This window comes from Homo sapiens, chromosome X (assembly GCF_000001405.40).
Source record: "Homo sapiens chromosome X, GRCh38.p14 Primary Assembly".
In the NCBI taxonomy this organism is placed as follows: Eukaryota; Metazoa; Chordata; class Mammalia; order Primates; family Hominidae; genus Homo; species Homo sapiens.
Window position 1 is genome coordinate 104,646,351 of NC_000023.11, and position 24,586 is coordinate 104,670,936.

Consider the following 24,586-nt stretch of genomic DNA (forward strand, 5'->3'; position numbering starts at 1 on the left):
AGCCTCTGCCCTTGAAATAGTTAAATTTTGACGATGATATTGAATCTAGATCATGGTACATAATAGGCTCATTGCACTTTGTATTTTCTACATAGAGAATGTTGTATGCTGTTGTAGGTATCATATTAATTTTACAATATATGCAGAAAGTATACTATTTAGTTTAAAATTTAAACATTTCAATGGTATCAGTCGGAATAATTTAGATTATGCTATTGTAATAATCCCCAACTCTTGGTGGTTTGTAAAAACAAAGTTTTATTTTTCACTTATGTAATGTGTTGGCTAGAAGCTCTGCTCTGTGACTCTTCATTCTGTGGCCCAGGGTGATGGAGCAACCACCATCATAAATATTACCAGTCACTGTGGCAGAAGGAAAGATAGCTGTGGAAGGCGTCACATTGACAAATAAATGCTCTGGCCTGGAAGTGACATGCAACTGTGAGCAATGACTTCTGGTCACAAATAATTGGCCAGAACCAGATGCATCACTCCATCAATCACAATGGGGCCAGGAAGTGCGGTCATATCATGTGACCGAAGGCAAAGAGGTGTTAAGTATTTTGAGAACAGAGTTAATGATCACCATTACTATATTGAGTAAAAAGTGAAAATTACCCTTCAACCTTAGACTTTATCCACTCCCCTCCTAAGGATTATAGTAGTGTCAAAAATTCCAAACTTTTTTTTTTTAAGAGATCTGAAGTGATTTTACCTTTATTTCCTTCACTTTAAGCCAGTGATGAAATTTCACAGTGATTTCTGGGATAGGGGCAGAAGGAAGGTGGTGTTAAGAATCATCAGGGCTGTGGCCTAGTCAGCCTGCAGAGGTGCAGGCAGGGTGGGCCCCCACTGGGACAGCTGGAGGAGGCAGGTAGGTGATGTTCTCAGAGCTGAGAGCTGGTATGTGATGTCCTCTGCAGCTTCCAGCACGCTCAGCTCGATCAGGCCGTCCCCTGCGGTGGCCAGTGAGTTGGGGATCAGCTTGGCTTCCATGGAGTCACCCTCAGCAGAGATGATGGCTGCTATTTTCTGCTGCTCAGCCTTTTCCACCACAAATCTGGCCCTCTCTGCTTCCTGCTGATCCACCTCTTTGGCTTCCACTGCTTCTGTGAACTCCTTCCCGAAGGTGGGATGTGTCAAGGACACATCGTCCAGGATGAGCCCAAAGGTGGCTGCTCACTCCGTAAGATTGTCACTCACCTGCCTGGAGAGCAGCTCTCTCTGGGTGATTAGTTCTCCAGCATCAAAGTGAGACACCACCGACTTGAGGATCTTGGTAGTGATGGATGGCAGCACACGCTCATCATAGTCCTCTCTGATGCTGGTGAAGATGCAAGGAAGCTGGCTAGCGACAGGCCAGGAGAGGATGTGCAGTGTGATGTTGACATTCTGTAAGTCTTTGCTACCAGTGATGACTGGTACATTAAGTGGTCGAGAATGGCAGTCAAAGATAATTGGTTTCTGTACCCATGGGATAGGAAAGTGAGTCCCTTCCCCTACCACAATGTCCTGTACTCCACAGAATCGGTCAAAGATGACAGCTCTGTGACCAGCATCCACATTATATAAGGCAGAGTTCAGCATGCTTCCTACAACAGCTAAGGCCAGGCCAAACTTGCCAATGGACACAAACACTTTGGCAGCCATGTTTTCTTCTGCTGGACCCTCTCACACCTGCTTCCACTCTGACCTCCACATGAATTCCCCAGCCACACATCCAAACCTCTTCCTACAGATTTCCATACACATACACACACATTCTCAGGCATGCATACATACATAGATTTTTCCATTATATGTGGAATCATATCTATTTTTCATATATCTTGTAGATCTACCCATGTCTATCCATACCTCTTTATCTCAGTCTCTTTAATGGTTGTATAGTATTCCATTTATGAATGTATCACCCCTACCCATGACAAGGTATTTAGTCTGTTATCAGATTTTCACCATCACAATGCATACTGCATTGACCATCCTTGTATGTGCATATATTTTTATGCATAATCATTTGGATTGCTGTAGTATAGATTCATACAAAAGCAATTCTTGAGCACTTTAATTTTTGCCAAATACTAACAAATTGCCTTGTAAAATGCTGTCCTAATTTATAATGTCATAAACAGAATATGAATGTGTACATTAAATTTTGAGAAGACTATTGACAAACACTTTTATTGATGGAAGAAAATGTTAGATGATGAGGGATTTAGACACCACATCAAAAATTGAGTAAGACTCATTGATCAATGAGTGTGATTGAAGACTTTTTGTCTAAACTGCTTGTAACACCTTATACCTACTACTTCTAGGTTTCCTGGCTGGAGAAACCCTGAAAAAGACTAGTCCCTGTAACACATAACACTTTTGATTTTATCTTAATGGTCAGAACTCAAGATTATATCTTAATGATCAGAACTCAATACCTTTCCATATCCAGCTGCTAGGGAGGCTGTGAAATGAAATTTTCATTTTTGTGGACTATGTATGGAGCCCAAAGCTGGGGACTATGATCACTACAGAAATCAAAAAGAAACCCTATAGTTACTTATGCCAGTTTTTTTCTTTATACTTGCTTCTCCTTGCATTCTCTCCTGAGATAGTCCCTTCTGCTGTCTCTCAATGTTTCATCACTCACTATTCCTCTTATCTATTCCCCTTTTTTGCTATGTCAACTTTTTGAGTCTCCACTTCTAATTTTTTCTCTCTCTGCTTCTTCATGTTTTTTCTCTTTCTCCTCTACGATTTTTTTCCCTCCCTTTCTGTGTCCTATCCACCTGACTCTATCTTTTGCTATCTCTGTTTTCTTACTTGTGTGCCTTTGGCTATGTTGGTTTCAGTCTCTGTGTCTCTTTATTTCTACCTCTGATTCTAATGGTTAGGGCTAACAACAGACTTGGCTGCCACTTTATGCAGTTATTTTCAAATGACAGAAGTGCTTGAGAATAGGCTAGATATAGGAATGCTGTAAAAAGGATTTCTTGATTGGTTGAAAGTTGGACTAGGTAACTATTGAGGTCCTTTCCAAATTTGAGTTTGAGAGCCATATTTCCCTCCATAGTAGATAGAATCTAGTTAACATTATTGCATCTCTGTTTTCTGATTGAATAGCTAATAGGACCTCAGGGCCATCTCTATGTGAATACCAGACTTCATTGCAAATTACTATAGAATTATAAAATGTAAGAGATAGAGATAAATGTGTGTTGACTAAAGAACTGTCTTTCTCTGTATATATGTATGTACGTGTCTGATTTTATACATATATATACATATATGAAAACCTTGTGAAGATATCAAAATTTTCTTTGATTGCAAAAATGTAACAAGAAATGATTATAATTGTGTGCTATTTGAAACTAGCTGATATTTTAGATTGGGTCTATTAACTGTGTCCAAATGTATCCATAAGTTAAATGTGTTTTGGTTTCTAGAGTCAAGAGTTTGCCATATAGGTACTGTTAAAAATTAGCATGAACCAGAAACCTGACATATCTGGTACTTTAAGGGAGGAAGGGAATAAAGTGAAAAAGGTAATTTGCAAACTATACTTGAAAGTCATTGAAGCATAACATCATTACAATTATCTGTCAAAAGATTTAGTTCAATTACAGTTTTAAAGCTCTCTCTTCAATATGGCATTACTCATATCAGGATTTGATACTCCAATGAGAGGAATACTAATGCCTTCATTAGCCATTGTCTTAGCAGCTTCATTCTTTAGAATTCATTACGTGGCCTTTTGGGATTTTTATATACTAACCCTAGGGAATCAGTAAACACAAATCTCTCAGGGGAATATGAACTTCAGAAATAAGAACCATTGCATATTTATAGCCATGGCAGGGGGGAAGACTCTTTTTAGGAAAAAAAGTAATTTTGAAATAATTGAATAACAGTATAATTGCCATGATAGTAGGTATTATACATGCTCCTGTACACTTTCTTCACACAGCAGTAAGTTGGTTGTAAAATCACCAACAGGAAAAAGTTATAATGTAATAAACCTAAATTTCAGTGTAAGGTTTCCAGGAGTAACTCGAGCTGCTTCTGAAACTTTTACTATTGAAACAGATGTGTGGGAACCATATGTTGGGAGCCCAGTGGTCACTGTTGTAAGACATTCCTTGATCAATGATGATATTTCAGGCCGACTGATGCTGTAGATGAACACTGCTACTAGATTGATTACACTGGCCTTTCTCTTTGACTATTTGAATTGAGGCAGTTTGACAGATTTTCCCTTTCAATGGGAAATCTGAATCACCTACTGAACATGCTAAAAAAAACCACTTATTTTACTAGGTATTCCCTTAGCACTTAACAAATATAGGTTGCTCTTCATTGTCCTGCACTTGACTAAGTACTCTACTATGCATGTATCGCCACAGTGAGGTTATAGTTCCTTGAAGAAAAGAAGCTACATTTTATAATCTTAGACTTGGTTTATGACTCCCATAGCATCTAACTTCTAGGGCAAAAATCGTTCAGTAGTGGTTAAGAGATTGGGGTTTGTTGTCACACAGACCTACATTCAAATCCTTTTTCCATAATTTATTAATGTCATGAACTTGGGTAAGTCACAAATGTCAGTTTCCTGAAAAGTAAAATGGAGATTATAGTAACTCATAAGATTGTTGAGAGGATAAAATGACATATAACAGTTTAGCACAATGTCTGGCCCACACAAAGTGCTCAATAAATTATTATCATCATAAAGTATAATCATTGTTCAGCAAAATTTGTTGAATTAATTGACTCTTCTGTGGAAATGGGATTGGTAAATATATGGACTTAAAAACTTTATATGCTCACTTTTTCTAATTCTGACTGATTTTAACTGACAGGAAAAGTAGCATATGAAATAATTCTGTAGTTAAATTGTACAGTTCCAATGATTATTTCCCTATTCACAGTCAAACATTAACTATTTTATTTCACAAAGAATAGGGAGGGGTGAATTAAATAGGGAAGTAGAAATATTTCTGCATCAGTTATTTTCCACATAAAATATCTCTGAATATCAGTTATAAAATCTAGTTCATGTTTTTGGTGAATATGATCACATAATGTCCACTTGGCAAACAGAGTTTTTAAAGGGCTTTCTCAAATCAACTTTTTTTGCCACCATTTATAAAATATCAGAATTATAAAAATGATATTTGATTTTAGCAAGTTATGGTCCCTACACACTGTCAGCTTTCAGACAGAAATCGTGAAGGTACAATCATAGATAGAATAGGTTTGCGGTAAGGAGAGCTTGGCAGACTCCTAAAATCTAACCAGTATGGTTGAGTTGGTAACTAAGTGAATATATATAGCAGGAAGAGCTATAGCAGAGATGAGCCAATGTTCTTAACAAAGTCACTGGCGTTATATAAGTTCTAAATTGGGGGGTAAGACAGAGGAGCTAGAATGGGCACGTTGTTCAAGAAAATTTTGAATCATAAGCCTTCCTTTGAAAGTTCAGAGCCTACATAATCATCTGGAGATCTGGCAGATAAGGTCTATGGAAAACAAAGAATCCTGTGGAGTACTTAATGGTCTTTTCAGTCTTGGTTTGGGGTCTCCAAAAAGCAGAACTCTAAGGATTTGAATGTAGGTAGTTTATTTGGGAGGTGATCCCAGGAAGTACTGCAAGGAAGTGGCAAAGTCAGACTGGAAGGGAGGTAAAGCAAATAAGCAGGTTGCCACTCAATATTACTGGAACATACCAAAGGGTGAGGGAGCTAGGGTATTTATTCATGAACTTTCACAATTGATTGAGAATCATTTAGTGAATATTAACAACCTGGCACTTCTAGTCATCTCCTATACTGGCCAAGCTGCTTTTGCAGTTAAAGAAGCCCCTCTGGCAGAGAAACATAGGAAGACTTCTGCAGATGACTTTTAGAATGGGTCAAAGAAGACATGGGCAGGGCACCAACAGTGTTTATGACAGCAGGAAATATGGTACCTCTCAGATCTGGATAATCCCATGTTAGACAAGAGATGTTCTATTTCAAACAAATGAGTAACTTGAAAAAACACTAAAAGTTTCCACTCATTTGCATTATTTAAACATTTGATAAGATGTTATCTACATAGATTTTGTTCTTTTATTCATTAAAAATATTTATTAATTAGTTATGTGTCAGGCTCTATGCTAGGTGATGAGAATAAAACAGTTAGTGACCAAGTGGCTGCCCTCATGAAGTTTACATTCTAGTGGGCAAGGAGTAGGCAAAGACAACCAAGCTAATAAATTTAACCGATTCATTAAGTGTTTCAACTCATTGGAGTATAAACTTGAAATGGTATTATTTTTCCACTAATTGCTATTTACTGTGTTCTGTTGTATTTACCCTCTTCCACTGAGAGATTAGGACAATGATAAACATTTCAATCTGATTGTATAACTTTTTAGCTGCTTTCAGATATTAGGAGAGTCTCATGCTGATTTTAAAGCTTTGGCTTGCTTACTCCAAGCCCCTATCTGATGAAAATGCTTCTCTTCCTTTTTCTTCAAACAGATGGGACATATGGCTCTAGCGGCTAGGAGTTTGGGGACATGTATGGTAGCCTTTCATACATCTCTTCTTATTTCTTCCCTTTCCCCTGTGCCTGTTTTGTTATTGCTTTGGGAGGAGAGTTGCTGGGGAAAAGGGAGAGGAAAAAGACAGATGCTTGTGACTGTGTGTGTCTTCTCCTTGGTTGGTCACAATTGCTCTTCTAGCTGTCTATGGGCACTATATAAACAGGTAGTTATAACAGCCTGCTGATGGGAGGCTTCTCCAAGCATCTCCTCTGGACATTGGAAATCCCTTGCAAGATTATTACATCTTCTGTTAGACCTTCAGCTGGTGCCATCAGATCACTTTATTTTCACATGCATTCATCTTGCCCCATGTTGCAAAGCCTCTGGCAAGAATTATGCAGTTACCTAGTCCAGCTTGGACCTTTGGGCATATGCCAAATTCATTTTCCATGTCTCTTGGGACCCATATATGGCTGTGTGTTGGGAGTAGGTGAGAATTAGTCTCGGTCCTCTTGTCATCTGGAAATCTCCAATATCCCACCTCTCCCGAGGGTTCTTTATCCTAGCTCCAGTGGTGCAGGGAAAGTTCAGCATGTCTAATGGTAAGTATATGGTTAACTGGGAAAGAAAAAGCCTGTTTTCCTTGTCAAAACGTAGCCTTCTCCTCCTTTCCAGGTTCCTTTGTTTATTGATGGAGTTGGGGTGAGGTGATATGGAACTAGCTGCATTGGTTCATTGTGCTGGTGGCTTCAGACATCAAACTGGAAGTTTTCTGAATTTAGGATATCAGGTAGATCTTTGAGGTCAATTCTGGGAAAAGAGGATCCTACCAAGCACTTGATATCACCCTGTTACTCTTATATTCTGGGTAAGGCTCTATACCTTTAGGTACGAACTAATTATTTTTAAAAATCTTTACATAGAATACTGGACCTTTACATGTCATCCAGAGGCTATTGCCTTTCCAGGTTTTCTTCCATTCATTATTTCAGTGATTGCTGTAGTTTCACCCTCATACCTCCCATTGCCATTTTTGTATCTTGAATTTATCATGAGCCCAAAGTACTTCAGTGGTACTTATATTCCGATTATTTTAAAGGACCCTAGCTGAACCACCATATAGGTAACCAATTTACTGATTTTTTTAACTCAATAGGGACAAAAACTTAAAGATAATTTCCCCCCCACCCCCAATGTCTACTGGTGGCACTTTACAAACTCCTTTCCCTGTTATTGGATGTGGAGATTTAATAACAGCTTGGTTCAATTCCTTACCCTTTTCAGTTATTTTTGATTTTGGAAGAGTTTCATTCTAAGTGCTTGAGACTCAATACTGTTCATTTAAAAATGAACTCAAAGTAGTGTAAAAACTCTTCCTATCACATAAACAACTGTAAATGCTGATCAGTCTTATGAATAAAACAAACAAAGAGGTGAGCTAGAGATTGACAGAGTTCAGATTGGGTAGTTGAGAAAGGCCTTTTTGTGGGACTCAGACATGTAGGATGTTAAGAAACTGAGTGAACAGTGGAGAGTATCTCAGGAGGAAGACAAAGTGCAAACACCGTGGGGAAAAAAAAATGCCTTGGCACATTCCAGGAACAGAAAAAATGACCATCATGGCTGGAGCATAGGCAGCAAGGAGGAGAGCTTTGTGAAATAAGATCAAAGAGGCACCTGGGGGCTCCACCTATAGGCCTTTGAAAGTCTAATGATTTGAAATTAGGTACAGTGGTACCTCCAGCTTTGTTCTTTTTGCTTAGGATTGTCTTGGCAATGTGGGCTCTTTTTTAGTTCCATATGAATTTTAAAGTAGTTTTTTCCAATTCCGTGAAGAAAGTCATTGGTAGGTTGATGAGGATGGCATTGAATCTATAAATTACCTTGGGCAGTATGGCCATTTTCACGATATTGATTCTTCCTATCCATGAGGACAGGATGTTCTTCTTCCATTTGTTTGTGCCCTCTTTTAATTCGTTGAGCAGTGGTTTGTAGTTCTTGAAGAGATCCCTCACATCCCTTGTAAGTTGGATTCCTAGGTATTTTATTCTCTTTGTAGCAATTTTGAATGGGAGTCCACTCATGATTTGGCTCTCTGTTTGTCTGTTATTGGTGTATAGGAATGTTTGTGATTTTTGTACATTGATTTTGTGTCCTGAGACTTTGCTGAAGTTGCTTATCAGCTTAAGGAGATTTTGGGCTGAGATGATGGGGTTTTCTAAATGTACAATCATGTCATCTGCAAACAGGGACAATTTGACTTCCTCTTTTCCTAATTGAATACCCTTTATTTCTTTCTCCTGCCTGATTGCCCTGGCCAGAATTTCCAACGCTATGTCGAATAGGAGTGGTGAGAGAGGGCATCCCTGTTGTGCCAGTTTTCAAAGGGAATGCTTCCAGTTTTTGCCCATTCAGTATGATATTGGCTGTGGGTTTGTCATAAATGGCTCTTATTATTTTGAGATATATTCCATCAATACCTAGTTTATTGAGAGTTTTTAGCATGAAGGGGTGTTCAATTTTGTTGAAGGCCTCTTCTGCATCTATTGAGATAAACATGTGGTTTTTGTCATTGGTTCTGTTTATGTGATGGATTACATTTATTGATTTGCATATTTTGAACCAGCCTTGCATCCCAGGGATGAAGCCCACTTGATCATGGTGGATAAGTTTTTGATGTGCTGTTGGATTCAGTTTGCCAGTATTTTATTGAGGATTTCCACATTAATGTTCATCAGGGATATTGGTCTAAAATTCTCTTTTTTTTGTTGTGTCTCTGCCAGGCTTTGGTATCAGGATGATGCTGGCCTCATAAAATGAGTTAGGGAGGATTCCCTCTTTTTCTATTGCTAGGAACAGTTTCCAAAGGAATGGTACCAGCTCCTCTTTGTACCTCTGGTAGAATTTGGCTGTGAATCCATCAGGTCCTGGACTTTTTTTGGTTGGTAGGCTATTAATTATTGCCTCAATTTCAGAGCCTGTTGTTGGTCTATTCAGAGATTCAGCTTCTTCCTGGTTTAGTCTTTGGAGGGTGTATGTGTCGAGGAATTTATCCATTTCTTCTAGATTTTCTAGTTAATTTGCGTAGAGGTGTTTATAGTATTCTCTGATGGTAGTTTGTATTTCTGTGGGATCGGTGGTGACATTCCCTTTATCATATTTTTATTGCATCTATTTGATTCTTCTCTATTTTCTTCTTTATTAATCTTGCTAGTGGTCTATCAATTTTTTTGATCTTTTCAAAAAACCAACCCCTGGATTCATTGATTTTATTGAAGGGTTTTTCCTGTCTCTATCTCCTTTAGTTCTTCTCTGTTCTTAGTTATTTCTTGTCTTTTGCTAGCTTTTGAATTTGTTTGTTCTTGCTTCTCCAGTTCTTTTAATTGTGATGTTAGGGTGTCAATTTTAGATCTTTCCTGCTTTCTCTTGTGGGCATTTAGTGCTATAAATTTCCCTCTACACACTGCTTTAAATGTGTCCCAGAGATTCTGGTACATTGTATCTTTGTTCTCACTGGTTTCAAAGAACATCTTTATTTCTGCCTTCATTTCGTTATTTACCCAGTAATCATTCAGGAGCATGTTGTTCAGTTTCCATGTAGTTCTGCAGTTTTGAGTTAGTTTCTTAATCCTGAGTTCTAATTTGATTGCACTGTGGTCTGAGAGACTTTTTGTTGTGATTTCTGTTCTTTTATATTTGCTGAGGAGTGCTTTACTTCCAACTATGTGGTCGGTTTTGGAATAAGTGCAATGTGGTGCAGATAAGAATGTATATTCTGTTGATTTGGGGTGTAGAGTTCTTTAGATTTCTATTAGGTCCACTTGGTGCAGAGCTGAGTTCAAATCCTGAATATTCTTGTTAATTTTTTGTCTCATTGATCTGTCTAATATTGACAGTGGGGTGTTAAAGTCTCCCATTATTATTGCATGGCAGTCTACGTCTCTTTGTAGGTCTCTAAGGACTTGTTTTATGAATCTGGGTGCTCCTGTATTGGGTGCATATATATTTAGGATGGTTAGCTCTTCTTGTTGAATTGATCCCTTTACCATTACGTAATGGCCTTCTTTGTCTCTTTTGATCTTTGTAGGTTTAAAGTCTGTTTTATCAGAGACTAGGATTGCAACCCCTGCTTTTTTTTTGTTTTCCATTTGCTTGGTAGATCTTCCTCCATCCCTTTATTTTGAGCCTATGTGCATCTTTGAATGTGAGATGGGTCTCCTGAATACAGCACACTGATTGGTCTTGACTCTTTATCCAATTTGCCAGTTGGTGTCTTTTAATTGGAGCATTTAGTCCATTTACATTTAAGGTTAATATTGTTATTTGTGAATTTGATCCTGTCATTATGATGTTACAAGGCTATAGTAACAAAAGCAGCATGGTACTGGTACGAAAACAGAGATATAGATCAATGGAACAGAACAGAGGCCTCAGAAATAACACCACACATCTACAACCATCTGATCTTTGACAAACCTGACAAAAACAAGAAATGGGGAAAGGATTACCTATTTAATAAATAGTGCTGGGAAAACTGGCTAGCCATATGTAGAAAGTTGAAACTGGATCCCTTCTTTACAACTTATACACAAATTAATTTAAGATGGATTAAAGACTTAAATGTTAGACCTAAAACCATAAAAACCCTAGAAGAAACCCTAGGCAATACCATTCAGAACACAGGCATGGGCAAGGACTTCATGACTAAAATGCCAAAAGCAATGGCAACAAAGCCAAAATTGACAAAGGGGATCTAATTAAACTAAAGAGCTTCTGCACAGCAAAAGAAACTACCATCAGAGTGAACAGGCAACCTACAGAATAGGAGAAAATTTTTGTAATCTACCTGTTTAACAAAGGGCTAATGTCCAGAATCTACAAAGAGCTCAAACAAATTTACAAGAAAAAAAAACCCATCAAAAAGTGGACAAAGGATATGAACAGAGACTTCTCAAAATAAGACATTTATGCAGCCAACAGACATATGAAAAAATGCTCATCATCACTGGTCATCAGAGAAATGCAAATCAAAACCACAATGAGATACCATCTCACACCAGTTAGAATGGCATTCATTAAAAAGTTAGGAAACAACAGATGCTGGAGAGGATGTGGAGAAATAGGAAAGCTTTTACACCATTGGTGGGAGTGTAAACTAGTTCAACCATTGTGGAAGACAGTGTGGCGATTCCTCAAGGATCTAGAACTAGAAATAGAATTTGACCCAGCAATCCCATTACTGGGTATATAACCAAAGGATTATAAATCATGCTACTATAAAGACACATGCACACGTATGTTTATCATGGCACTGTTCACAATAGCAGACTTGGAACCAACCCAAATGTCTGTCAATGATAGGCTGGATTAAGAATATTTGGCACATATACACCATGGAATACTGTGCAGCCATATAAAAGGATGAGTTTATGTCCTTTGTAGGGACATGGATGAAGCTGGAAACCATCATTCTGAGCAAACTATCACAAGGACAGAAAACCAAATAATGCATGTTCTCACTCATAGTTGGGAATTGAACAATGAGAACACTTGGACACAGGGCAGGGATCATCACAAACCAGGGCTTCTGGTGGGGTGGGAGGCAGGGGGAGGAATAGAATTAGGAGAAAAAACTTCTATAAATGACAAGTTAATGGATGCAGCAAACCAACATGGCACATGTATACCTATGTGACAAACCTGCACGTTGTGCACATGTACACTAGAACTTAAAGTATAATAAAAAAATACAAAAAAATTGAAAAAGAAAGTCTAATGGAAGGAGTTCAGATTTCACTCTAAATCCAGTGGGAAGCCACTGAAAAGTTTTAAGCAGGGAACCTGACATGGTTTAACTGTGAACTTTCATGTTTTCTTCTATTTGCAAAAAATAAAGCCAGAAGACCCCAGATTGTCATTGTTTCTCTAATGGAGTTTTGAAAAATGTAAAATTATAGGTGTGGTTTTGTTGAGGCCAAGATCTGTGGTTCAAACTTTATATCCTTTTTTTTGACTTTTCAGCTGTCAAGAAAAGTGAAGGATGAAGCCACCATTTCTTTTGGCCCTTGTGGTCTGTTCTGTAGTCAGCACAAATCTGAAGATGGTGTCAAAGAGAAATTCTGGTAAGTTGCTGGCAACTTGCCACTATTTGGTCAAAAATGTACAGTTTTGTGAGCACCCAGAGGGCACCTGTGCCTTTAACTATGAATGTCTTTAAATAGAAGCACTCGTATTCCAGTTATGTTGGAAAGTAGCCAAAATAAAAATGATGTTTAATCCTACCACTGAGAAATTGTTGGGAAATCAGTGGAATTTTGTTAAACTTCAATGACCAGTATACTCTCAGTGGACAATGAAATGTTAAGGGCCTACTTAGAGTTGGTTACATTTGCTAGTGAATAAATACCTGGGAGCAAACATTTACAAATGAGAAGGTAAGAAACCTTTAAAAATATACATCCTTTGCCTCCTAATTGAGTGTGTAGCATTGCAATTTAAAGACTTTGATAAATATCTGAGTTTTAGTTCCTTATAGTTGTACCCAGTTGCTAACAGGCAGGGGTCTACAGCCTCCAAGTTCAGAATTATTAGCTAATTGCCCGAAGAGGAATTTCTCGAGAAGAAAAATCTATTCCTAGAACATGTTGGTCTGGCAGGCAGCCATGACTGTACTAAGAGATTAGCTGTAGCCAGTACATAGTCCAGTCAAAGCTTAATCATTGTTTAATAATACTTGGATATATATGTCTTTCAGTTTTGATTATACATTCTAGCTGTAATTACAAACTTTGCATGAGATTTTAAGAATTGATTTTCTGTCTGTAATCATTCCAGTAAGACATTGAGGAATGTGTTATTATATGGAAACAAAAGATTGTGTTGAGACTTTCTACTGGCTTCTAATTCATTTATTTCTGAGAATTAAATGTATTTGCTTTACTTTCTCATTAAGTATCAAATCTAGTCAATGAAATGCATGCTTACTTTTCAAAGCAAAAAATGCGGATTGGGGGGAGGTGCTTGGAGTTTGGCTAATGTTTGTTTCCTGAGATAAGAATACTTACTAATTGAAATACCTAACAAATAGTTTTGTCTTCAATTGATAGCATATTAATAAATGTTTCCAAAAGTGAGAGATTTATCACAGACTATAAAATAGAGTAACACTGCTGAAGTCCAAAGGATCCTGGAGTGATAAAGATAGGGCAATATATTGTCTTTTTCTCTTCTTATAGATTCAGGTCTATATTTAAATTACTTTTGTATGTTGTGACTCTCTTTCAGCTGAATTTGTGTTTAATATTTTACCTATTATCTCTCCAGCTCAGCATATCATTCATGGCTGCCTTTCCTTGCTTTACCTTTGAAGTCCCATTTTACTTTCAATCTTGGTTCAAATTGATAGTTGCTGAAATAAAATATTTAGAGAGATTGCTTAACAGCAAACATAACCTGTTGAACCAGATTGCATTTTCCTTACTCGGTCATGTCATAATGTCTGGAGCAGATCCGAAAGGAAAAAAAGAAACGAGGGTTTAAAAAGTCATCTGTATTATGGTAGCTTAATTGAAGTAAAATCCAAACTGAAAAAAAATAAGTTGCTGTCAATGTATTCTGTCTTATACCTTGGTTTGCTTATTATATAAGAGAAGAGAGGCTGTTAAAATATATATATATTTTATATATATTTATATATATAAAATATATAAATATATATATACACACAAATATATATGTGTATGTATAGACACACACACACACACACACATACACATATAGCTGGGCTATTACAGGTGGCTCACACCTGTAATCCCAGCATTTGGGAGGCCAAGGTGGGTGGATTGCTTGTGCTAAGGAGTTTGAGACCAGCCTGGGTAACATGGTGAAACCCTATTTCTACAAAAATGTAAAAATTAGCTGACATTGTGGTGCACACCTGTAGTCCTAGCTAATCAGGAGGCTGAGGTGAGAGTATGGCTTCAGCCTGTGAAGCAGAGGTTGGTGAGCCGAGATCATGCCACTGCACTCCAGCCTGGGTGACAGAACCAGACCCTGTCTATATATATATATATATACACACACACACACACACATACACACACACATATAGAAGGTTATCATTAATGCACAGATGTCATTAAAAGATCAACTTTTCAATGCTTTGCCTCTTTATTTTTGCTTGTTAAGCGTGAGGCTATTTGTGGCTTACTAGGGTTTCTTAGCTTTGTTTTCTTAGTGTGGACAAATGGTATCATATCTGCAGTCAGCTTCATTGAAGAAACATTACCCAAAAAGATATTTCACTTACAGTCAAAGTGTTAGAATGGTTTCAGTCTCTGCTTCTCCTTCCCTTTATGCTGCACTCCCCCTCCATCCCTGCCAGGACAATAGCAATTGTAATATTGGAACAAAACTTCTTACAGGTCTGTGCAGTTGAAATCATTTGAATGCACAGCTGGTTCTTTTATTTTATGCCTTACTGCTTCTGTTTATGGTGTATACGGAGTAGGCAGAAAAGACTAATAGGTTAGTGTTGGTTTGTGCTTGTCTCTGTGTGTTTTTTGTTTGTATGTTTGTTTATTGTTTCATAATGCAAAAAAGATAGGGCATGGGATGAATAAAAGACATCTTAAGTTGCTGATGAAAACGAGGATACTTTGGAGCAGTTCTTTTCAACTCTACCTTTCTGTTTAGCCACCCCCATCATAACCCCCTCTCCAGCCCTATACCTCTGTTAATATTATTATTTTATGTAGAAAATATAATTATTTGCACTTTCATTATCATAGTGCTATTTGAGTTACCTTATCTTTTGAAGAACATTAAAAATGCTTTGGCAAATCTGCAGTACAAATTTTTGCTTCATGTAGCTTGTGAAGTCCTTTGCTCATTGCCAATCAAAGAGATCCAGGTTTAAGCTCGCATGGATGTTCATCATGGAATCACTAACGGAACTCGTAACTTTTATTTTTTTCCCCTCTTCCCTTCCCTCAAGTCAAGAAATGAAAAACGATTGCACCCTTTATTCATTAACATTTATGACTGTTTAGTGTCTGATGTGAAGATAGTTATAATGATTTCTATGCAGTTCATTGTAGACACAAATCCCTTTCACTGAGATCCCTACAACTGCTGTTGCTAATGGCCACCCTTATGCACAAGACAGAGAGAGGACCAAGGGTGGAAGTTTTTTCTTCTGTACTTGTCAAACATGGAAAAGAACTTAGTAACAGATGTGAGTTAGGTTTTTGGTTTTGGAGGTTGGTTTGTTTGTTTTAATCTACTCTGGGCACATATTGGAGCAAACCTGCTTTTGGGTGGTGTACAATTTTTAGAGGTGATAGCACAGGCTATGTTTCCATGTAATGCCCATTCACACTGGGCAAGTCCAACAATCAACCCTGGCTTGGGAAACAGCAAAGATGGCTCTGAGACTGCATCTAGGGCCTGATTGCTTTAGAACATATTAAAATGCACAGCATTTAATTTTAAGGACTATAGCTGATTATTCAAGTGTAAGTTTTTGGTCTTCTTCACATAACACTCCTTCAGTATTCACTTTTTATAAATTTAGGACTGGATAGATAAAAGTCATTTGGAAAGCCTACTCTATCAAAAACAAGTTTACTTAAAGGTGTCATTCTTTATGTCAGGAAATTGGCTAATATCTTGATGATCAATAGCAGAAATGGCCATTTCTTTTTCCTGTAGAGGACACAGGTACCTAAAACTAATTTTTAATAGGGTGGGTGGGAGAAATTACTCTTCCTCAAGAAGTCACTCAAGACCTTCTATTTAGCTATTTTTTAACCTGAAAAACGTCCTCAGAATATACATGAACTTTATTATTTGGGACATTAAATCATCCCCTTAACTTTCTTTTGGCTTTTGCTGCTGCTGCTCCTGCATGAAAATGTGAGCCATGTTATGCAGTTGTTGGCATTCAGTTCTTCCAGCATGGACCTCTGTATCAGAGAAAGCATCAGTCTGATGAGTGGGTATGTTAATATTCAACCCAAATTGGGTCATCTTACAGTCAGTTCATCTGGAGGATGATCTAGCACAAAAACTTCTCAGTGTTGGGAGGAAAATTGCAGAGCTACCTGCATATCTCAATCAGCTAGAAAATGTAGTCCCCAGTGGTAAGAAGAATGTGAAGACTTGCTGGCACACAGTGGGTATTTAAAGATATATTTTGGATGGACTTGAAAGAACCACTCAGTTCCACGTAATGAGAGAATGGCTTTATTTGGGGCTTTGGTTTATAAAATTATGATATTTTCTGATTGTTGATGAGGAAATAACAGCTTGTTTTCACTAAAATACATTTGTTTTAGAATTTCCAGTTAGATAACTGAGGACGACCATAAAGGCAAAAGTAGAGGTTATATGAGCTTACATTTCTGGCCAAAGCTAGAAAGGGACTCTTATACCACTTCCAAGTAAAAAGAAAATAACTTCTTTTGTGAAATTTATTGTTATATAATTAAAAATAAAAGGAACCATGCTTTGAACCCTCAAAGGAAACAATAAAATGTTTTATTTAAAAATGCTGGTTAGAAGTAATGTTGCTCTGTGGATATTCACACTGTGCTTTTAGCTGTAGAGTGTAAGAACACTAGAAGTTAGAAAATCAACAATGTGATATTGAGATCTCATCTCCTAAATGTATTCTAATGAGCTAAGATCAAGGAGGAAAATACTTCCCTATGATTTGTTCTTTAATTGAAAGGGACAATCTGAGACATGGTACTTTTATCTCTTTAATTAGGGTGACTTCTCTGGAGGAAAATGGATCTTTGAAGGAAGGGAAAGTGGTACTAGAAGAATTGGTTAGGTCATTGGAAGTGATATAGGACAATGTTTGGAGTATAAGACAAAGTTTACAGCAACTAGATAATAGGCAGGGATGAGAGATATCGGTCAGAAAGAATGTGTGGCCAGAATTGAGCTGAGTGAAACACAGTTATTGAATAAGTTGAAGGGGAAATAATTTTACAGTTCTTATCATTGAATTTGATATGGCCAAAGGCATACTTGTTGAACTGTTACTGTATGTGCAATATTCCACTAGTCCTGAGGTGGGGCTGACGGGGAGGGAAAATAAATCAAAACTCCCTTGTTTAAAATACTTAATATCATTGAGATCAATGAATGGCTAAGCAAATAATGGTTTTAGGGTTAGGGAGGGTGGAGTGTAGGTCCTGTTCTCTGGAATGTTCCATTCTCTAAAGGTAGAACATTTCTGGAGTTTTAGCTGGATGCCCAGATGTTAACAAGATATTCCCTAGCACTGCTAATCCTTTAATATCTTCTTCCATTATCAACTCTGTAGTGGTCGTTCCGCAATGATAAGCCTTTGGCAGTCTTTTCCAGGGCATGTTCAGTCCAGTTCTCAATCAGGGATCCATAGAGGACCTCCACATAGATCTCATGGGCTCCCCTCTGGGAAGCTCTCTCCTTTTACTGGGAGTTCCAGCCATTTTAAATGCCTTGAACTCTGATCTCTGTAGCTCCAGCTCAATAATACTACTGGGCTCTGTTAGGACTCTAACTCACCAAGCCATAGTTGGGGAATTGTCCCCAGTCGGAGAGCTGGGTTGATTGTGGGGCTCACACCATTAGTCCTCCTTTTCTCCGAGATCACAGCTTAACACTTCCTGAATATTATTGCTTTACACATTTCTTCCACTTTTGTTGTTGCTTACTGTGGGAGAGTTAGTCTAGTTTCAGTTACTTCCTGTTACCTTCGATACCCCATCATTCTTTGGGTGCTTTCTGTCATAAAGAAGTTGTGCTAGGGTTACCTTGATACTGATTCTTTTTAGTGGAAAATGAATTTAGAAACCTTCTTTTTCTTTTAAATTGTTATTTCATTGAGATACTTCCAATTCAAATCCAGCATCACAGGGCTCTTCCTTACCTTTCTCCATTCCATATTTGTATTTCCTTTTTCCACAGTGAGAACCCTCATTCTCATCAACATCAATATATTTACTTGTTTTGTCCTATAAGTTATACAAAATAGTTTTAGAATGTCTACACCAAAACCACTACAAGCAACAAACTTACTAAAGTACAAGATATTTTATAATTCTTTTTGTCTTTAGAATTCATCCCACTAAAGTTGTACAGTCAGAGTGATATGTTCAAAAGTTGCTTGAATTAATTTCTTTTTCTCTGTGGTCATGTTATTAATTCAATATATAAATAAGTTAATTTGTGTTTCTATGCAATTTGCTTTTTTATCCTTTTGGATTAAATTTTATTTTTGAATACATAAAATTTTTACATCATTGGAAATTCAAAATTATAGAAAAAATAATAAATCCAAGAAGTCTCACTCCCATGCCTATCCCTTCTACCTGGTCTCACACATGTCCTAGTTGTAACTAATTCCTTTAGTTTCTGATATTTCCTTTCTTTTTCTTTTTTGCACAAATCAATGTGTATATTTTTAGTTCCACTTGTTTCATAGTAGCAAAAAATAATTATCCATTTAATTTTTTGGTTCTTGATTTTTTCACTAATGTATCTTGGAAGTCAAGCATTTTGGATTCTGTTAATATTTTTTTCTTATTACAATTGTGTATCATGCTTAATGAAATTTAAAATAATATTAAAATAGAAAACTCTCTTGTTTATATCCCTAGAGTTAACTCATGATTGAATTTTTTATAGATTCTTCCAGATAGTTTCTTTGGATATATATGTATATAGATGATTTATGTATCCTAAATCATATGCATTTTTCAAACTTGGAATCATACTGTACGTACTATTCTCCAACCTGATGTTACTTCACATGATATTTATATCTGTAACTTCTAATTCTTGACACTATATAACTAAATCATATTTTTAAATACTGTGAAATATTCCATTGTGTGGACTTATAATAAAATTAAAACCAGTGCTCTGTTTATGGAAATTAGAGTTTTATCCCTAGGTTTTGCTATTGCAAAACAATGCTGCGAGGAGTGCCCTATTACATAGATCTTAGTACACTAGAAGAGTAAACATTTTTGTAGGCTAGATTCCTAGAAGTGGAAATGTTGGATAAAGTTTTTATTTAAATTTTGAAATGATACTGACAAATTGCCCACCAATGTCACTGTGCCAATTTTGCCAATCTAAATCCAAATGAAAAACATTTCATTGTTTACTAAAATCCCCAGGTTGGCTACTATGAGTATGTTCTTTGGATTCAAATAACCTTAAAAGTGTGTGTGTGTGTGTGTGTGTGTCTGAGACATAGAGAGAGAGAGAGATCAGCAGCAAAACAATCCATACAGTGAAAATCTCTGCCTATTCCATTAAGTTTGGCAACAAAGAATGGCAGAGAAGAGAATGTGAGTTAACAACTAAGTTCATTATTATTTTGGTTGTTCTACAACATCAACATCTGATATGATTGAAATATTAAAGTTCCTTATGACACTGGTTCTCTTTAAATGAAAAGGTGTGGATAATTAAGCTAATTATTTAATGAAAGCTGGAAAGTCCGAAAACAATTCCATGGGGGATTTCATCCAGCTCTGTAGCATCTTCCAAATACAGAAGTCACCGAGCTTGGTATCATGTTGGATTTGTTACTGTCCATAAGGTTAAAGGATGAGAGAGAAGGAAGAATAATTGAGCCTTCTATTAATTTTGATATTGGGATTTATCCCATCCATAAGTACAGCCAAGAACTGCAGTGAATGAGCTCCTTTCTACTCTGTTGTTTTGGAATGAAAAGATATTTTATCTGCCAGAGTGGAGACATGCTTTGAATGTCTGTTATTTCTGCCAGGTGAGTTTCTATCATAACCCAACTCATGTAGGCACATCAGTCTAAAGTGCATCCCTTGTGGCTTTGCTGACTTCTACAGGTGTAATTTGCCCTAAACGAAGTATGTGCTCTGCAAAAGCACACCCTTAATGCCTACTGTAGTTTGGTCCCTGGAGAAAGCTAGCACCCAGAGATTTCTTAGAATATGCATGACTTTCCTAGTCTATGAGAAGGACACTGAATATGCAGTTTTAAACTTCCATTCATATTCCTATTCTTGCCTCATATTTGCTTCCATATATTTATTTGAGACTGTCATAGAGAAGCATGATATTTTGTGAGGCTTGCACCAGGACTATTTTCTAAAAGAAATGCTTTGACATTCAATGACCTTCCCCCAGGCTAAGAAGAGTCAGGCCCTGCCTCTCTCTGTGGGTGTGAGTTATGAGAGCTGTATTGTAAGTGTGCTCTCCCTAAATGGTTACAGACAAGAAACACATGGTTTTAAGAGGCACCCATTAAACCCTTAAGATGAATGGCATGTATTTGGCATCTCTACTTTGTGGAGAAACAAGACAGTGGTTTCCTGAAATCAAATTCTGCCAAGGATTGTCTTAGAAATAGGGCATTTATTAATTCACCAAACATGCAAGCAAACTAAATGCAAGCAAGCAAAATAAAATGTCTTATGATGGGTCCCTCTCAGTGATTCAGAAATTGACCAGACATGCTTTTAGCCCCCCAAGAAACAAGTAAATCATAGGGGGAAGGGAGAAACTAACATGCATCGAGTGCTCCTATATGCCAGGCACTTTACATACATTGTCTCCTAATACAAAGACACTGAGGTAGGTAGGTCCAACTCTTGTTCTCCATATAGGGAAACTGAGGCTTAGAGTAGCTAAATAATTTGACCACTCTCTTACATAGCTAGTAATTGGCAAAGCCAGGATTTAAACCCAGATTTGTCTGACCCCAGAGTCCTGCTCTTAATCACTCGTCCATGTTGTGCCTTTGTGTGGACATCATTAGCCTCATTTTAAAGATGAGAAAACTGAAGCTCAGGGAGGGTGAGTTTATCTGAGGTCCCCAACCATTAAGTGGAAAATTTAGGTTTCAGATGATCGACTGATTCCAAAGTTTATGCTCTTTCCACAACACCATGGATATGTCTTATTTACAACTCTTATAAAAGGCATAATATAATAAGAGTCATATAAGAGGCATGGATATAGTTCATATCAAGGAGATATTATTTTCAGCTGGGTGTGAGGGTGATTAGGGAAGGCTTCATGGGACAGGCATCATTTGACATTGACTGTGAAGACTGGATTGGGCAGACTGGATTGGGAATAGTGACGGGGGATGGTATTCTGAGCAGAGGTTAAAATAAGAGCAAATATGTGGATGCATAAAGTGCAGGATATTTTTGAATATCAAGTGGCCTAAATTGACTGGAGGATAGTATAAGATTCAGGTAGTTAGGAAACATATTTGTTGAGAAACAAGTAGCTAGACAGATGGTGTTTTGAATACCTCCACAATTTTAAAATTATAGGATATATATTGAATCCAGAAAGGAAATGTTGGTTAAGGCGCTTTAGATTGGAAGGCAGGGGGCAAGGTTGCTGAGACATTCTAGCTCTGTGCTAGTGTTTCTTTTTTATTTTTATTTTTATTTTTTTATTATTATTATACTTTAATTTTTAGGGTACATGTGCACAATGTGCAGGTTAGTTACATATGTATACATGTGCCATGCTGGTGTGCTGCACCCATTAACTCGTCATTTAGCATTAGGTATATCTCCTAATGCTATCCCTCCCCCCTCCCCCCACCGCACAACAGTCCCCAGAGTGTGATGCTCGTGTTTCTGTTCACATGCTTTACATTTGCTATAATAGGAAGGTTCAATCAAAGCTTTGTTTTCAATTATGAAAATGTTTTGAATTTAAAAAAAACTGAGTAAGGCATTAACCTTAATTAAAAATCAGAATAAAGCTTATTTGTATCTTCAGCTTCAGGGAATTAATGATTTTTTTTTTTTTACAGTAAAGGAACTTGTTTCTGGTCTTAACATTACCAGCGGGTGGCACTGTAATACATTCCTTCTGCATCTCTGAAGTAGCGTTTTACCATCTCATGGCTGTCTTCAGAGTCTGAAATTAGAAGGAATAACAGCTTTATAGTCACCATAGTGTGATTGGTCTAATCTTTGAACACATTTACTAAGCACCACCCCCACAACCACGATTCTTCAGTTTTTGAGAGCTATTCTGCTTAGGTTCTCACCAAACTACCTCTGAATCTTTTCATTTTTTTCCCAAGAAGGTGACTGTGAGGCATAGCTCTCGTTACTTTTCAAGTAGTTCTTCAAAGTTAGGTATTCAAAAGCCAAAGGCAGGAGAAGTTATGAGACTGGCAAATTTTACCTTTGGCACTCCCCCTGGCTACTTTGCTTTTAATATCTTTGCTTGTTTCTTGTGCATTTCGCCCTCCCCAAGGCTAAAGAGAATTCAAATGATTCACAATTTTCTTGACCTTTACTCAGAACTTTCCTATTCTTTGATAGGTGACAGCTAGTTTAATCTTTAAACCAATCCAGACTGATACACTGAAACACTACTGAGCATTCGGTGTTATTGGACACACCTCTTCCTTTTTGACACTCTCTTCTTCTGCTCTAGTGACATCATTTTATCTTGGTCCTATCTGTATCTTTCTGGCCATTTTTTCCCGGTCTCCATCATTATCTCATTTTCCTCTCTGTCTCTTAAAAGTCGCTTTTCTCCAGCATTTTCTCCTTGTTACTCTTTTAACAAACCACTCCATACGTTTCCAAAGTTTCTACTCCCTTGGTATTAACTATCTACCCTCTTGGTGCTTCTCAGCAGTGTCTGCATATTGGAACCACCCAGGGAGCTTTTAAACCATATTCCTGTGCAAGTACCACTCCCAGAGTTACTGATTTATTTGGGCTGGGGCCTCGGAATCTGTTGGTTTTTTGTTCATCTATTTGTTTTAACTACAAGGTGATTCTAATGTACAGCCAGGGATGAGAACCCCTGACCTATTGAGGTTTCTAGCAATCCAGTCTTTATGTCTCCTCTGAGTTACATGCATTATTTTCCTTCTAGACATCTTCCCTTGGCTGTCCCACAGGCACTTTGAACTTCAAAACTCAATTTTTAATCTATTTAAATTCCACCCTTCTTGTGTACCCCATCTTAGTTAAAATTACATTATCATTCTATTTGGGCCAGAATATATGGTGTGACTCTCAAATCTACTGCAAGTTTCCATATTCAGTAATCACCAAGTTCTGCAGTTTGAATTCTCAAATATCTTCTAAACTACCTGTATTAGTCAGAGTTTTCCAGAGGGAAAGAACTAATAGGATAGATGTATATATGAAAGGGAGTCTATTAAGGAGAATTGACTCACACGATCACAAAGTGAAGTCCCACGATAGGCCATCTGCAAGCTGAGGAGGAAGTCAGTAGTGGCTCAGTCCAAGTCCAAAAGCCTCAAAAGCAAGAAAGCCAACAGTGCGGCCTTCAGTCTGTGGCTGAAGGCCTGAGAGCCTCCAGCAAATCACTGGTGTAAGTCCAAGAGTGCAAAGTCCAAAGAACCTGGAGTCTGACGTCCAAGAGTGGGAAGCATCCAGCAAGGGAAAAAGATGAAAGCCAGAAGACTCAGCAAGCCAGCTTATTCCACCTTCTTCCACCTGCTTTGTTCTAGTTCTGCTGGCAGTTGATTGGATGGTGCCCACCCATACTGAGGGTGGATCTGCCTGTCAAGTCCACTGACTCAAATGTTATCTCCTCTGGCAACACCCTCAAAGACACACCCAGAAACAAGTACTTTACCAGCCATCTGGCGTCCTTCAATCCAACAAGTTGATACCTAATATTAACCATCACACCACTCCAGTCATGTTTTTTTTAAACAAATTTTGACTTTTATTTTAGATTCGGGGGTATACACGTGCAGGTTTGTTACCTAGGTGTATTGTGTGATGCTAAGGTTTGTGGTATATATGGTCCTGTCACCCAGGTAGTGAGCGTAGTACCTAATAGGTAGTCACCCCACACTTCTTCATCCTATCTGTTGCTGACCTAGTTCAGCCTTTCATAATTTCTTCCAGCCCTTCTACATTACTGCCCATTTTCCATAATACTTGCAAATGGTGTTTTTACTTGTTTGCTTGTTTTTAGTTATAGATGTACAGCAATTTCAAGCATTTATTCCATTGTCTAATGAACATTTGTAGATCAACTGCTAGATGC

The 24,586-nt window shown here is 37.5% G+C and overlaps 1 protein-coding gene and 1 pseudogene across 1 annotated transcript in view; one reads left to right on the forward strand and one right to left on the reverse strand.

Annotated features, from left to right (window-relative positions):
- Positions 1-24,586, forward strand: part of IL1RAPL2 (interleukin 1 receptor accessory protein like 2) — a 1,201,631-nt gene that overhangs the window by 80,152 nt on the left and 1,096,893 nt on the right. The window contains exon 2 of the mRNA NM_017416.2: positions 12,545-12,645. Coding sequence (NP_059112.1) covers positions 12,564-12,645 — 82 coding nt within the window. The 5' untranslated portion in view covers positions 12,545-12,563. The remainder of the gene's footprint in view (positions 1-12,544; positions 12,646-24,586) is intronic.
- PHB1P10 (PHB1 pseudogene 10) lies at positions 695-1,720 on the reverse strand (annotated as a pseudogene).